Source organism: Homo sapiens, chromosome 6 (genome assembly GCF_000001405.40).
Source record: "Homo sapiens chromosome 6, GRCh38.p14 Primary Assembly".
NCBI lineage: Eukaryota > Metazoa > Chordata > Mammalia > Primates > Hominidae > Homo > Homo sapiens.
This window is the reverse complement of record NC_000006.12, coordinates 57,961,520-57,978,206: the sequence shown is the minus strand read 5'-3', so window position 1 is coordinate 57,978,206 and position 16,687 is coordinate 57,961,520. Positions and strand designations below refer to the sequence as shown.

Genomic DNA, 16,687 nt, shown 5'->3' with positions numbered 1-16,687 from the left:
TTGGGTATAGCTCCTGATTCCATTGTTCCCAACTGAGTAGCAAGCATCAAGTCTAGTTATTTGCCTCCAGTATCATATTCTTTTGATGACAGAAGCTTTAAAATATGTTTTAATATACATTTCAATAATTCTCACTGCTTTTATTTTTTAGAATATTTACTCTGTATTTACTTTTTCCACATGAATATTTTAGCATTTTATTTTTAAATTTCAAATTGATATAAAAGTTGCTTAAATAATACAATCTGCCATATATACTTTATCCATAACAAAAATTACAGGTGCTTCAGTTAGCTCCTTCAGACCTTTTGCATATTTTAGTGGCTCTGAGCTGTAAAAGTTCTGAATGACAGATTATTTTGATTTTGATTGAGTTATCAGATTAATAGTTATAGTGTTTGGAAGTTTTTATCTGATTCTTAAGTGAATCTAAAAAAAGATTAAGAATTGAAAAATGATATATCAAAATTAAAGATAATTTTTATTAATCAGACTACTCTAACAGAATTATTTCCATTTTTGCTTGATACCTTTCAACCTTCATCTACATGCGCCTGCATTTTTTAATGTAGCATAATATACATATCTCTAGTTTGCATTGTTTTCATTAATTGTATCAAAATTTTTCTCCAGGTTGATGTGTAATCTACATAATTGTCATTTGGAAAGATTGAAAATATTCTGAAATGTGTCAACATTTATTACATTCTTACCTATCACCAGTCACTAAATTTTGTTCCATGTTTTGTATCCACAACAACCTGACCTTCCCATGGCCCCACCCAAGATAATAATTTTTCTAAATGCATCTATTAAACCCATCCATTTCTACTTTTTCCTACAAATAGAAATGTATATACTTCTGAGCTGAATTCAGTATTATTTTGCATGTTTTTAAACTTTATCCCTATCCAGTACCAAAGTGTATGTATTTCCCTACAACTTCAATTTTTCACTCAAAATTATGTTGTAAGGATAATCTGGGTCCTCTAGTTTCCTAATTTTCACTGCAATATGTCATCTACTATTTGATTATATCATAATTTATACATTCTTTTCTTGTTGAATACTTCGGTTGTTTATAATTTTTTGCTATTACAAATGCTATTATTATTCTTGTAAATTCATCGTTGTGTGCTTGTATAGGAGTTTCTCTAAGGTATGAATGTAGAAATAGATTGATGATTCATAGGATATTGTATCTTTAATTTTCTAGTTATGGCCATATTATTGTGCAAGGTAGTTGTTCCATTGTATTCTCCCACCATAAGTTCTGATACTCTAATAATAGGTATCCTCTGACCTGTAATGGTTTGCCAATCTGACGGATATTTCATTTTGATTTTACATTGCAATTTCCTAATTACTAGGGGAATTAAGCCTGTTTTGTATACTTATTGGCTATTCATGTTTCCTCTTCTGAAAATTGCGTGTATTTTTTCCCATTTTTCTGTTGGACTATATCAGGGTTTTCTGATTAATGTGAAGAAGTTTACATATATTTAATTTTCCCCCTCAGGGCCAGTCTGAGACAAACAAGTGTCTTTTTCATCTTCCTTAACTATCAGTTGCAGATGTTTAGCACATTCTTTCACAGAAGATCTACCACAATGAATCATTTTATCGTGAAGCCTCAGTTCCAGCTCCCCATCCCACACAGGCCCAAGAATTTGTCACCTATTCACTATCTCCAAATTCCACTCTAAACAAATGTCTTCAGAACATTCTGGGCTTGCTTAACATTCTGGTTTTCTAATTCATCTTTTTGGCCCCTGTGAAAATTTCCTACTTTCTTCCAAGTTCAACTATGCCTTTCAATGGATAGTTGTATTTTATCTAGCAAAGGGTCTCGTGATATCTGATTTTCATTTTGCTGTAATTTCAATTCCTGCCTTTTACATGTGTATCCCATGGTGTAGATGTACCATAATATAATTATTTTCCTGTTAATGCACACTTAGATTGTTTTTAATTTTTTAGTATTAATAGAAATGCCTCAAGAATTCCTGTGAATATATTATTGTGCCTACATAAAAATCCTTCTATTGCATATATTTCTAGAAGTGGACTGGCTGTTTCAAAGCATATGTGCACTTTTAGTTTTCTCATCAAAAAGCTGGATAAATTTATATTTCCAGGAACACTGAATGATAGTGACAGGGTTTTCATAACCTTAACAGTGCTAAATCTTACCAATCTTTATCTGGCATTTCTATTAATATTAGTATTATTTCTTTTTCTTCTTCTTCTTCCTCTTCCTCTTCCTTTTCTTCTGCATTGGCTATTGATAAGCTTTACTTGTATTTTTATTGTATTGTATGTATTTTGTTGCTTTGATAAGGTAGTTTTATTATCCAGGTATTAATCCTTTTCCATAATCTGATTGAAATATTTTCTTCCAGTCTATTTTGTCTTTCAACTTTATCCATAATAAACATCTTTTTCATACAGAAATTTCAAATTTCTGTCACTTCAAATCTAACATTTTTACCTTTATTTCCTTTTATTCCCCAATATAATAGAAATATTACATTATATTTTCTTTTGATTTTTTTAAGCTTTAAAAACCAATCCAGAAGTTGATTTTGTGTGATATAAGACAAATATCAAAGTTGTTTTCAAATCAATAATGAAATGCCCCAATATGACTTAACGCGCTGTATTTCCCTCACTAGCTTGAAATAATAGTCATATATATATACACACACATACACACACACATATACACACACTTATATATACTCATATATATCGATATATCTATATAGATATAGATATAGATATAGATATCTATATCTATATACCTATATCTATATCGATATATATGAGTATGTGTGTATGTGTGTGTGCCTGCATGTTGTTACCGGCGGTTCTTTGTCCTTACAGCTCGCAAGATGGTGGCGTGCCGCTCCAAAGATGGTGGCAAGCCTTTTGTTGTCTGACCTGGGGTTCTTGGCCTCACAGATTCCAAGGAATGGAACCTTGGGCCATGCGGTGAGTGTTATAGCCCTATTAGAAGCCATGGGTCATGGAAGAGAACAGTGGAACCCAGCGACTAGTGTTCAGCTCAATTAGGACGAACCTGGGCACTTAGCCGTGCAGGAACAATGGCGAGCCTTTAGCCTGATCTGGAGTTGCAATGGGCACCTCACTGGATCAGGAGCTCAGCGGACATCCTGCTGGATCCAGATGGGTGGAAGTCAGTGGCGGGTCTGCGACAGCAGCAAACAGCAGTGGTGGACCGTGAGCAAAAGCTCAGCTCGAGCCATAACAAACACAGACCAGAAGAGTGTGCAATTGCAAGATATAATAGAGTGAAAACAGAACTCCCATACAATGGGAGGGGACCTAAAGGGGGTTGCCCCTCCCTGCTCGAATGCCTGGGTTGATATCCTAATCAGTGCCCCTCCTCCTGTGCTCTCAGGCAATACATGATTTGACTATTTCTTTACCTCCTGCTTTTAGCCTAATTAGTATTTTAGTGAGCCCTCTTTCCTACCTGACTGGTGGGGTGCGAGCTGAGTTACAAGCCCTGTGTTTAAAGGTAGGTGTGGTCACCTTCCCCAGCTGGGCTTAGGAATTCTTAGTCAGCCTAGGAAATCCAGCTAATCCTGTCTCTCAATGTGATATAAAATTTTTTACTCTGGTCATTTAATTGACTTACATTTTCCTAAACCAATACCATGCTGTTTTGATTTTTGTGACTTTATAACATATTTTGATTTCTTGTGACTGTTTTGATTGTGGTAAGACTCACATCAAAAGAGGTGCCTCCTTTCAAAATTCTCTTGACTATTGTTTAGCATGTCCAGGTAGATTTTAGAATCTATCTGGTCAAGATCCTCTCAAAAGGATTTCATTTTCTTATTTTCTAAACAGACACACAATTTCCTTAACCAAATTGGATGCTTGAAGGATCCTTTATGATTCAATTAGAAGTTCTAAAAATTGAGTCCTCAGGAAGAAATAAAAAGTAATAACAGCAAAACACCCACCATGATCGCTTTTCTTTCAAAGGCTTAATAAACATTATATAATTTCTTCCTTTAAACAACCCTGCTAGGGATGTTTTAATAAACTCATTTTAAGAGTGAAGAAACTGAACTTGGGGGAGCTTTATCTGCTGAGAGACTACCCAGCTAGAAAGGCAGTGAAGCAGGGATTACAACTGACCCTCAAGCTAAAACACTTAACCTCTAGTTTCTCTTCTCTCTAGAGCAGCATTTCCCAAAGTGCTGTGCCTGGACCAGCAGCAGCAGAATCACCTGAGAATATGTTAGAAATGCAAATTCCCTGGCCCACCTGGACCTAACAATTAATAAACTCTGGGAATGAGATCCAGCAATCTGTGTTGTACAAGCCCTTCAGGTGTTCTGATGCAGGCAGTTTGAGAACCACTGATCTAGAATCCAAAGGCTGAGGAGTAATAAGAGGGTGCAAGAAATACTGCATGGAAAAAAAAAATTAAAAATAAACACAGAAAAGAACAGCACTCACTGAAACGAATGAGAAGAAATGCTACAGACATTCAGGGTTTATTAAATGACTGCTGTGTTGGCAGTAACAGCCACTACATGGCATTATAAGAAATAAAACAGAAAGTGCTTAGCTAAAAGGTGTCCTTTATTCTTTTCAGATCAGAAAAGCTGAGAAATCATTGAAGCAGAGTGTATAAAAATCTAAGATCTTTCATCCCATTTCTCTGAGACTTATGATCAAGAAATGCATTAGCAACTCTTGGCTAATACACAAATGCCTGTCCATATGAATTTTGATCTCCTTCAGAAGCCAGACCATAAAAACGTCTGAGCACCTGAGTGTGGAAGAAGCTTGGAAAACCCCTGAGAAGAAGAAACATCCTGAGACATCACAGAAAATAAGAGGAGATTGTCGAGAAAGAGCAGCCTACAATAGCAGTGCAGCTGGAAGGCTGAGGAGACAGGGTGAGGGCCAAGGGAATGAGGAAAGACTGCCAGGGTGGACGCTGGGAAGGCTGGGCCAGTAGCACCATCTGGGGTGGTGAGGTGAGCCATATGCCCTGTGCATTTGGGGTCTACCACAGCTGCCTCTGTGATTAAAAAGGGAACAAAAAAATAACCTTTTTATTACTATTTTTTGAATTGGATACATTTACCATTATTTGCAGTAACATAAAATTTGTCCAAATTTTCATTTAGTGAAATTAGTGCATCAAACCAGCTGGATTTGCCCATGCAAAGAGGACTTGGTGGGTTCAGGTGTTGGGCTCTTTGTAAGAATTATCTATTAATTAAGTGACTAAAAATAATTAGCCTTTTGGTTGGGTATCCTGTCAGGATTAGGGATAAATTCTTGGAGAAAACTGACTGTGAAAGGCACAGGCTTGGATTGAATGCATTCAAAATAGTCCCTGGGTCTTTCACTGGATAGTGAGATGCCTGCTTGGCTTGGAAAAATTCAGCCCACGAGATTTTCAAAATCACTCTATGAACAGGAAGACTGTTACTGACGCAGATCTTCGCCATCCTCTTGGAATTTAAAGCAGCATTTTCAAGGTTTATTATTCGTATTGGTTTTAATAGGATTCTTTTATGAACCTTTTTAATGAGGAGTATTCAATTATTGCTTCCTGAAAACATTGCTATGATATCAGATTCCACGCTGTGAGGCCTCATTTGGTTAATGTGTATGTGATCTGAATGGAAAATAAAAGAACTGTTAAATTGCCATTTCTTTCCTTTACTGTATCAAGCTTTCTTTCTGCTGATGTTGGTGGTTGGTGGATGTATGCAAACACTCCATCTTTCTAGTTTGGGAAAGCCACCGGATTTAAAAAGAAAATGTACTTAAATGTAAAAATCCATATAATGTGATGTTTATCAGATAAGGCCTTTTTCAGACTAAAACCTTCTCTCTTTCTTTTAACAAATCAGAAAGGATTGGGCAGAAGTTTTCTAAGCCCGCGGGATGATTAATTAGAGAGGGTGCCACTGGCAAAGCTCAAAAATGTGAAAACAAATGTGCACATTTAATATGTAAAGCTCAATCTGGAGTTTAAAACTGGATGCAGCAACTTGAAGTATGTGCCTCAAGGCATGGCTCAAATACTCCGCTGAAGAATCCAACTCATAACCCTGAAGAAAGAAACTCAAATTGTTAATCCACTTTTAATCACCAATCAGGAGAATCTTTGCGAATAGTTGATAAAACAGACCAGCATGTGACTTGAGTTGAAAGTGTTACATGCCTTTTATGCATCTTTAATTACAGCTATGAAAGCTCTCATGAGCTCATGTACTAGTATATAATATTTCATTTTTAGGAATGATGACTAGGAATGTTCAAAACAGAATTAGGAGGTTCTAGAATAAGGCCATCCTTGGCATAATGGTTGGAGCAGGGAGAACACATTTATCCTGACAAAATCAAAACTAGTCATCCACCCTGATATGCAATGCATAATAATCAAACTTTGAACTTTTATGTAGATGGAAGCATATTAACCCCTTATCACCCAAATATGTGCTACTTGCTACCAAACAACTTCCTATGTAACGTAAAGTGCACTCACAGAAATTCATTAACTTCCACGGAGGACTTTGGTGTTTCAGTCTTATATATGCTAGCACCATCCTGTGAGAGAATGACATAACAAAAATTAAAGAACAAATAATACTTTATTTGAACAAAGACTATACAGGAATTATATCTGCAATAGGTATATTGATGTAAGTAAACTATTTCAAGTTCTGAAATGGCAAAGCACCATGCATCAGCCATAAAGAAGTAGTTTGTGGGGAGTGAGAAGAGGGTTCAGGCATTAAATTTCTTGTAGGAATTAATTAACTAAGTGACCAAAGATAATTAGTTGGGTATCCTGTCAACATTAGGGATAAGTTCTTAGAGAAAACTGACTGTCAAAGGCACAGGCTTGGATTATATGCATTTTAAATCATCACTGGGTCTTTCATTTGGTAGTGAGGTGCCTGCTTGGCTTAGAAAAGTTCAGCTCACACGATTGAGGTAGCCAGATATGTGCCACCCCCATCCCTATTCCTCACCTCCACTCACCTGCCCCATCCCCATTCTTTTCTTTTTTCTTTTCTTTTCTTTTCTTTTTTTTTTTTTTTGAGATGGAGTTTCACTCTTGTTGCCCAGGCTGAAGTGCAATGGCATGGTCTTGGCTCATGCAACCTCCGTCTCTCGGGTTCAAGTGATTCTCTTGCCTCAGCCTCCCAAATAGCTGTACAGGTGCCCACAAACATGCCCAGCTAACTTTTGTATGTTTAGTAGAGACGGGGTTTCACCATGTTGGCCAGGCTGGTCTCAAACTCCTGACCTCAGGTGATCCGCCATCTTGGTCTCCCAAAGTGCTGGGATTACAGGTGTGAGCCACTGCACCCAGCCCATCCCCATTCTTTGATCCTAACAGTTGTCGTCTTCTCAATCGAAGGTAAAGTGCTATACCAATTCAACCACAAGGTGTCTCCTAGCCTCAGTACCTCCTTCCAACTAGGGTGCCACCCTCCTTCTGTATAGAATTTCTGGCTCTAATGTAATATAAATGGCAAGTACTATTGGGTTTTTTGCTATTATTATTGTTATTATGGTTATTATTGTAATTGTCCCCTGATGGGGTTGAAGAATCTCAATACTTCCCATTGTAGTTCTCTTCCTCCTACTGAGCTGGAGATTACAACCTCATTATACCAACTTTTTATTAATCACCAAAGGGATTCTTTCGTATGGGGATATTTTTATTAAAATATGTTTTATAACAGCCTGATGATTTGGTTAATATGATTACCCTACTTAAATTGAAGGAGAGGGATCTGAGGCCAAGAGATGCCATGTACTCTCCTACCGTTAAAACCAAGTTAGAATTTATATTCCCTGAGTTTCTTGCTAGTAGTCAAGACAGCTATAAAATAAAAAAACACTGCCAGCCAAAAAATACTTATTCTGGAGTAAGGCAAATTTATATCAATAAACTTCCCTTATTAGTTTCCCAGAACATTGCACCTTAGCACTCATTCTTCAGCTACTAGGCAATTCTATTGCCATTGAAAAGCCTCAACAGGAAGGGAAATGCTCCATCATCAAGAATGTGGCCCAGTTTAACCAGCCTTTATTGAACACACACCAGTAAAAAGGTACCAAGCCCATGGATGTGCAATTTTTTCAAAGATGAACAAAGCTTATCTCTGCTCTTAAAAACTTTTCAAGATGGCCTCATGTTTTCATTTTTCCCAATATTGGAGCAAGTCCCTCAAATTACTCACCCAGTCTGTTAACACCTGGTACAAGCACCCTTTCAGGTAAATAGGCTAAGGGATTGCTATGATCCACCCATCAGCCTCTGGGACACTGATCTTTATCATATTCAAATCTCTGAGCTCATCCTTTATTTTTCCCACTTGGTCTAGTGACAATAGGAGCAACCAGTCAATCTCATTATACTCATTAGTTTGCCAAAAATGTTAGAAAGTCTCATATAAACAGTCATTCAGATCTTTACTTCCTATAAGTGGTTCAGAGTATCAAATGGTGCTATTTTGTATATCGCTATCACCAGAGTACAACATGTACTATCAATGCTCTCTTTACTGCTGGAAATAGAGTTATGAGAATCTCTAAATCTAATTACATTACAGAGCCAATTACAAAACCCCAGAACCAATTCAGAAAGCTCATTCTTAAGATTTTGTTCCTCTAGACTCCATACCAAAATGTGTATTAGGGTTCTCCAGAGAACAGAACCACTAGTGTGTGTGTGTGTGTGTGTGTGTGTGTGTGTATGCGCACGCATGTGTGTGGGGAGAGAGAGAGATTTATTATAAAGAATTGGCTCATGCAACATGAGGGCTGACAAGTCCTAAGATCTGCAAGCTAGGAAAGTCAGCAGGCTCAAAGAGAGCTGATGGTATAGCTCCAGTCCAAGTCTGAAGGCCCAAGAAGCAAGAGAGCTGATGGTGTAAGTTTCAGTCTCAGTCCAAGTCCAAAGGCAGGAGGAGACTGATGTCCCAGCTCAAAGGGAGTCAAGCAGAGAGAGTGAATTCTTCCTTACTCAGCCTTCTGTTTTTATTCAAACTTCAACTGATCGGATGAGGCCTGGGGACATTGTACAGGGCAATCGTCTATACTCAGTTTACTAATTCAAATGTTAATCTTATCCAGAAATACCCTCACAAACACACACAGAAAAAATGTTTAACCAAATATCTGGGCACCCTGTGACACAAAATCAACCATTACAAAAGATTCATCCACACTAGTTTACAGTTTACCAATTCTATCATCTCTGTGTTCTATTCTCTGAAGAGCAGCTGAGCATAAATTCCCCCAAATGTTAATATTACAAAAAAAAAAGTTTTAGATTGAAACGAAATCAAATCAAGCAATAGTTTTGGATGCCAAATATGCAAGATGCATACTAGGCACCAACCGTTCTTCCGTGCTGTTGCAATTATATAAAAATCATAAATATAGGCTTTCTGCTCCTCCCATTCTATAGACAGTAACATCTTGTGCAGTGCCAGCCATGTCCCTGAGACACGAAGGTTGAAGTGAAGGCCAGAGTAAACGGATTTGGCCTTACTGGGTGCCTGATCACTAGTACAGTTTTAACTCTAGCAAAGTGATTATTGTCACCATCAATGACCTCTTCATTGACCTCAGTTACATGGTCCACATGTTCCAGTATGATTCCACCCATGGCAAGTTCCACGCACCATCAAGGCTGAGAATGGGAAGCTTGTCATCAATGGCAATCCCATTACCATCTTCCAGGAGCAAGATCCCATCCAAATCAAATAGGGGGATGCCAGTGCTGATTATCTTGTGGAATCCACCAGCATCATCACTACCTTGGAAAAGACTAGGGCTCACTTAAAGGGGTCATGATTTCTCCCCCTTCTGCTGATGCCCCCATGTTTGTGATGGTTGTGAATCATGAGAAAAACAAAAACAACTTCACAATCATCAGCAATGCTTCCTGTTCTACCAACTGCTTAGCACCCCCAGCCAAGGTCATCCATGATAACTTTGGCATCATGGAGGGATTCATGACCACAGTCCATGCCATCACTGCCACCCAGAAGACGAAGACAACCTCTCTGGGAAACTGGGATGACAGCTATGGAACTCTACAGAACATCACCCCTGCAATTAACTAGTGTTACCAAGGCAAAGTCATCCCCACACTGAATGAGAACCTCACTGGCATGGCCTTCTGTGTCCCCACTGCCAACATGTTGGTTGTGGACCTGACCTGCCATATAAAGAAACCTGCCAAATATGGTAACACCAAGAAGGTAATGAAGGAGGCACGGAAGGGCCCCTCAAGAACATCGTGGGGCTACACTGAGCACCAAGTTGTCTCCTCCAACTTTAACAGTGACATCGACCCTTCCACTTTCGACGTTGGGGCTGGCATTGTCCTCAGTGATCACTCTGTCAAGCTCATATTCTGATATGACAAGGAATTTGGCTACAGCAACAGGGTGATAGACTTTATGGTACACATGGCCTCCAAGGAGTAAGAGCCCCCTAGACCATCAGCCCCAGTGAGAACACAACAAGAAAACAGAGGCCCTCAGCTGCAGCAAGTCCCTGCCACACTGTCCTAGACCATCAGCCCCAGTGAGAAAACAACAGGAAAAGAGGTCCTCAGGGGCTAGCAAGTCGCTGCCACATTCTGTCCCTGACATGCTGAGACTCTCCCTTCAACACAGTTTCCACATCAGACCCCCTGAAGAATGGGAGAAGCCTAGGGAGCCCCACCTTGTCATGTACCATCAATAAAGTCCCCTGTACTCAACAAAAGAAAAAAATCATAAACATAGTGGCATTTTACCTTCAGCCTGATGTTTTACATCCTTTCTGTTTAACTACATATCTACTCAAATAACACACTGAGGTAGCATAAATATATGCCCCTTCCAGGAAGTCTGTACATCCAGTTTTACTCCAGATGCATTTTCTTATGACTGGATTCTCTTTCTCACTGTTCTATAAACTCTTTGAGTTCCTCACTCAATTTTAATCACTTTTAGATAGGTATTCAATATGCTAAACAGAGATGGGCAAACACTAAATGCAAAATTAAATAAATAAGTAGTTTTATTACTTTTATGTATATTAAGTGTGTAAAGATATTATTAGTTTTTTACTTCATGTTTCATGTCATGAAGAGAATGTGTCATCCATGAGCTTAGGCTTCAAACAGCTTTCTTGTTTCTGTTGTTGCTTTTGGAGCCCAGTCAATGTCATGAGCAATGTTAGCCCACAAAGTTAATTACAACAGAGCAGATACCAGTAGTCTCAGTACAGACTGACTTCCACTAACCTATTGTTATTGAGTTCTCAGATATATAAGCATAGATCAGCCAGATTTGGCTCAATCATGAGAAATAATAAATAATTATTGTTTTAATCTGCTAAGTTTTGATGTGGTTTTTACTCAACAATAGCTGATTGATGGAGTATGTCTTATTGATTCCCCCCATATGTACACTTCTTCCAAAAGTTATTGTAGGGAGTCATTACATACTGAAATTACAGAACTACATTTATGTATTATCATGTTTACTATGGCTAACCAACCTATAAATTATAGGTAAACTTAATGCATTCTAAATTATTCTTATTAACAAGATGTATTATACTATATTATATATTATCAAGTTATTAGATACGTCTAATTGCATGTTGCATAGAAAGATTTTTTTCATACTTTATGTTCATCTCCACTTGACTTCTTTGTAGTTAAGTTTTCTTCTGTCTGGAAGCTTATTTTTTTGTCTTTAACTTCCTTAACATTAACATCGATAATGTAGAGGCAGTTTTGTTTGTTTTATTTTAATCCATTGTCTTTTCATCATTTTTATTTAATCATTAAAAATTATTGACTATTATTTCTTTAAGTTTTAATTCTGAGACTAGCAAAACATGGGATGTGTCAACACTACTTCTCTATGTCTTCTGACTTTACTATGATAGTATCAATCATTATACCTTCTCAATACTTTCTAGATGGTTTTTCCAACTGGACATTCCAGTTCATTATTCACCTCCCCTTCCATGTTCTCTCTACCTTCATATTGTTATTTTTTTCACGTTACCATATTCACTGATATCAGTGAAGGATGATTTGCTCTTAAATAAGATTTTGCTGAACAAAGATGCAGTGAAGGGAGATGCAGTCAGGGACATCTTTTCCAAGCCACCTCTGAGCCCGAAGCTTATACAATTAAAAAATATGTGGAGAATAAATACACATATTTTACCTTTATGAATTTATTGCACACGAATGGTCATGAGAAGACTTTGCTAATGTCGCATCCGGGTCTTTGGAAAGCACCAGTGCAAATGACGAATATACTAGCCTAAACTTTGGTAAGTTGATGTCTCTGAATAGAACTTGAGGCTTCTATTTTTCCTCTATGACTGACTCTAAGCATGTCATGCCCGAAAGTTTACTCACAGTTTTGTTCTGAATGCTGAGTAAGGCCCTGCGTTCATCCCACTTCTGTATCTCTAGGCAGCACGTTAGTATTCCATTCTGAATTGATGAGAAATTGAATCCATGGGGTGCTTTGCAGACAGCATGTAGCCGAAGAAAACAATAGTTTTCTTTCCTTGGTTTCCCTTTGCCAATAAGGATTATTTCCTTGCTGAAACAATGTTGCTAATGATGTTGTTCTGTGTAGCCTATGTATTTTGGAGTAGAAAAATAATGTAAGACCCCCTGGGGTGAAATTTTCCTGCACTGAGGTCAATAAATAAATAAATAAACCTGACAAACATACATTAGTGTACAAACACTAATGCTTTACTGAAACTGAAAAGAGTCTCTCCAAAGACTTTAAAGATGCTGATATTTAACAGATAACAAAACTATTTGTTAAAATTTCAGAAGAGGCAGTAAGAGTGATCTATTTTCTGATTAATTAACCCTATCTAAAATATAAAATCCAGATTGAAACAACAAATCCAGGGTTACCATATTCAAAATGAAATTTTGCTCTGGCTTAACACTCTTAACATCATATAGAATATAAAATTATCTTATCTGTTTTTACTTACAAGCATTTGCTCGCACATATTGATATACATATCTGGGGAAATTACACCACCAAAACCTTCCACATATAGAGTAACTACTTTTATAATGAAATGATAAATTATATAGTATTTCCATTTTAATTACAGAAAAGTTTCTGGGGATGTGTTGCCATGGCTAGAAATGCAACATCATCTAAGGCATAAAACTATAATCATTTCACATCTTCTCTGGGTCACCATAAGATTTTCTGTATACTATTGAATCTTTGTGCAGACAACAATCTTGGTGCAAATTAAACCCCGGGGATAAGTAGAAGGGAGACTAACATCGCTCACCTGAATGATGCAAAGCACCGGTGACATTGTGGACAGTATTTAGGTAAGGATGTTTTTTTCCATCCTTGTTTTTATAAACGAAAACATTTCCATCTTTCCGTCTTTGTGAATTGATACATATTGATTGTACATATTTATGGGGTTCATGTGATGTTTCGACGCATGCATACAATGCATAATGGCCAAATCATGGTAATTAGGATATCCACTACCTCCAACATTTATTTCGTGTGTATGTGTTGGGGACATTTTAAGTCTTTTCTTCTGAATATTTTGAAATAGGCAATAAATTATTGCTAAGTATAATCACTCTTGTGTGCTATTGAACACTAGAACTTATCGCTTCTATATAACTCTACATGTGCACCCATTAACCAATATCTATCTTCATCCTGCCTCCTTCCCAGCCTCTGTTAACCATCATTCTACTCTCTACCTTACTGAGATCAGACTTTTTAGCTCCCACAAATGAGTGAGAATATGCAATATTTGTCATTCTATGCTTGGCTTGTTTCACTTAACATAAGGACCTATTGTTTCATTCATGTTTCTGCAAATAACATGATTTGATTCTTTTTATGGCGCTGTAGTATTCCTTTGGGTATATATACCATATTTTCTTTATCCATTTATTTGTTAATGAACACTTATGAGCCACAATTTTTTTAATGAGTGATTTAGATGACTTGCATCGAAACTACTTGGAGTGTTTACTTTTACAAAACCATATTGAGTCTTGATATAGACACGGTAAATCAGAATATCTGAATGTAAGATTTACAAGTTAACTTTTAAACATTTTTTAGTATTTTATATGTGTATATACATGTGTCTGTGTATGTATATATATAATGTGTATATATATATATATATAGAAGGGAAAACTATGAACCCTAGAATATGAGTCCTTGAATATGAGTCACTAATGTATGTATGTGTGTACATATGTATATATACCGTTTCTATAATTAAATATTTGTCTTTGAGAATTATGTAAATATAAATGTGTGCAAGCAGGTTTGGTTCACTATTTTCTTACTAAAAAGTCATAAAAATACCCATTCATTTTTATTATAAAAGGTATTAATATCTCAAAGAAGACTGTATGTCAGGATATCAAAGCTGACTCTTAATTTTTCTTTTATTGTTAAATTTTTGGACTTTGGGAGACAAATAAAATTTCTGTGTTCTAGAGTTTTAAAAATGAGGAACACTTCTAATTCCACCTACTCAGGTGGCTGAGGCATGAGAATTACTTGAATCCTGGAGGCAAACGTTGCAGTGAGGCTAGATTACACCACTAAACTCCACCATAGGCAACAGAGCAATATTGTCTCAAAAAAAAAAAAAATGAGGAAGGTCAGTTTAGAATCTAAATCAGACAGGTCTCTGTAGATAGGGATAGAAAGGACAGGTATATACTACCAAAGTTCCAGGATGATAATATGGTATTTTCTTGGAGGATACTAGAAACTTGATAATAGTGGAGAAATGCTAAGAACAGAGTTTTGCTCAGAAGGACTCATATTCAAGGGTTCATAATTTTCCCTTCATTTTTTCCTCTTTTGTCCTTATAGGACATTTCTAGAAAGATATACATATATAGATGTGGATAGATAATTTTCCTGTTTGTCATTCTACTTTCTTTTAATAATTCTTAACTGTTCAAAATGTTTTAGATCTCTGTGTTTCCTTATTATTTAAACTCAAGCGATGGAGTGGCAGAAAAAACCAACCCTTCCATTATGTACTTCAGTACACTCTTGTACTGCAGTGTGTGCAGGCATGGGGCAATACACTTTCCAGGGGATTTATAAGACAGTATAAAATAAATAGCAACCAAACCAAATTAGCAGTGTTTGGAGGCAAAAATGGAAACATTTAGGGAAACATACAACATAAATAGATTGCTGTTGAATGAATGACTAGCAGGATAGTTGAGACAAAGCCCCCTTTCACATAATTCTAACAACGTTACAATGTTACGGGAGGAATTCAACCCCATGTTTAGGAAGAGGTTAATATTTGATAAATTGCCTACACATCTCTCCATCTCTCTATGAAAATATTTTATTTTACTTGAGATGATAATATAAACAATTATTTTCAGGAGTTACAAAATACATTAATTGTATAATTTTTTTGGTAGCAACTTAAGGTGAAACTTTCTCAACAGGGGAAAAGTAGCTGTCATAGGAGCCTAAATAGTGGAGTAGGCTTCTGCTGCCATAAGCCACCAAGATTTATAAAGAGAAGAAATAGTCATGGCATCTGTTTGCTCAACTAACAACATTAAATTTCTATGTGCAATATTGGTAATGATGCATCTAAACCTTATGTAGTAAATAATTTATGAATCTTTTAGGGTGTCAGAGTTTTTTGGCTTTAGTCTAGGTAGAAAGGTCATAGAGTAAGTAGACAGCCTATACGTTTAATGAATATTTGTATTTGCGATGGCTCACGCTTGTGATCCCAGCACTTTGGGAGGCCGAGATGAGTGAATCAGGAGGTCAGGAGTTTGAGACCAGCCTGGTCAATATGGTTAAACCCTGTCTCTATTAAAAATACAAAAAATTACCTGGGTGTGGTGGTGCGTGTCTGCAGTGCCAGCTACTTGGGAGGCTGAGGCAGAAGAATCTCTTGAACCTGGGAGGCAGAGGTTGCAGTGAGCCGAGATCACGCCATTGCACTCCAGCCTGGGCAACAGAGTGATACTCCGCCTCAAAAAAAAAAAAAAAAAAAAAGCAAAGGGTGTCGCCTGTAATCCCAGCACTTTGGGAGGCCGAGGCAGGCGGATCACTTGAGGCCAGGAGTTCGAAACCAGCCTGGCCAACATGGCAAAACCTCGTGTCTACTAAAAATACAAAAAATTAGCTGCGCCTGGTGGTGGACGCCTGTAATCCCAGCTACTTGGGAGGCCGAGACAGAAGAATCGCTTGAACCCGGGAGGCGGAGGTTGCAGTGAGCCGAGATCACGCCGTTGCACTCCAGCCTGGGCGACAGAGACTCCGTTTCAAAACAAAAACAAAAACAAAAAAAACAAAACAAAACAAAACAAAAAACCAAAAATTAGCCGACGGGCACCTGTAATCCCAGCTACTCGGGAGGCTGAGGAAGGAGAATCGCTTGATCCCGGGAGGCAGAGGTTGCAGTGAGCTGAGATTACGCCACTGTACTGCAGCCTGGGCGACAGAGGCTCTGGCTTTAAAAAAAAAAAAAAAGGGAAAGGATGTTACAGAAACTCCAGATACTACTCCGCTCCAGTGGTCTGAGTTGCGCGGCGTTTTCCCGCCGCCTGTCCGGTAGG

The 16,687-nt window shown here is 37.5% G+C and overlaps 1 long non-coding RNA gene and 1 pseudogene across 4 annotated transcripts; one reads left to right on the top strand and one right to left on the bottom strand.

Moving 5' to 3' along the window:
* Positions 1-4,519: 4,519 nt before the first annotated feature.
* On the bottom strand, positions 4,520-16,659 carry LOC101927293 (uncharacterized). 4 transcript variants are annotated; one of them, NR_187654.1, is made up of 5 exons: positions 16,465-16,659; positions 15,959-16,026; positions 12,464-12,690; positions 6,551-6,612; positions 4,520-6,113 (listed from the first exon to the last, which is right to left on the bottom strand). It is a non-coding gene; the product is annotated as an uncharacterized LOC101927293 (long non-coding RNA). The 4 variants fall into 4 exon arrangements; NR_187655.1 differs by lacking the exon at positions 12,464-12,690; NR_187657.1 differs by lacking the exon at positions 12,464-12,690 and having other exon boundaries at positions 4,520-5,068.
* Positions 9,469-10,611, top strand: GAPDHP15 (glyceraldehyde-3-phosphate dehydrogenase pseudogene 15; annotated as a pseudogene).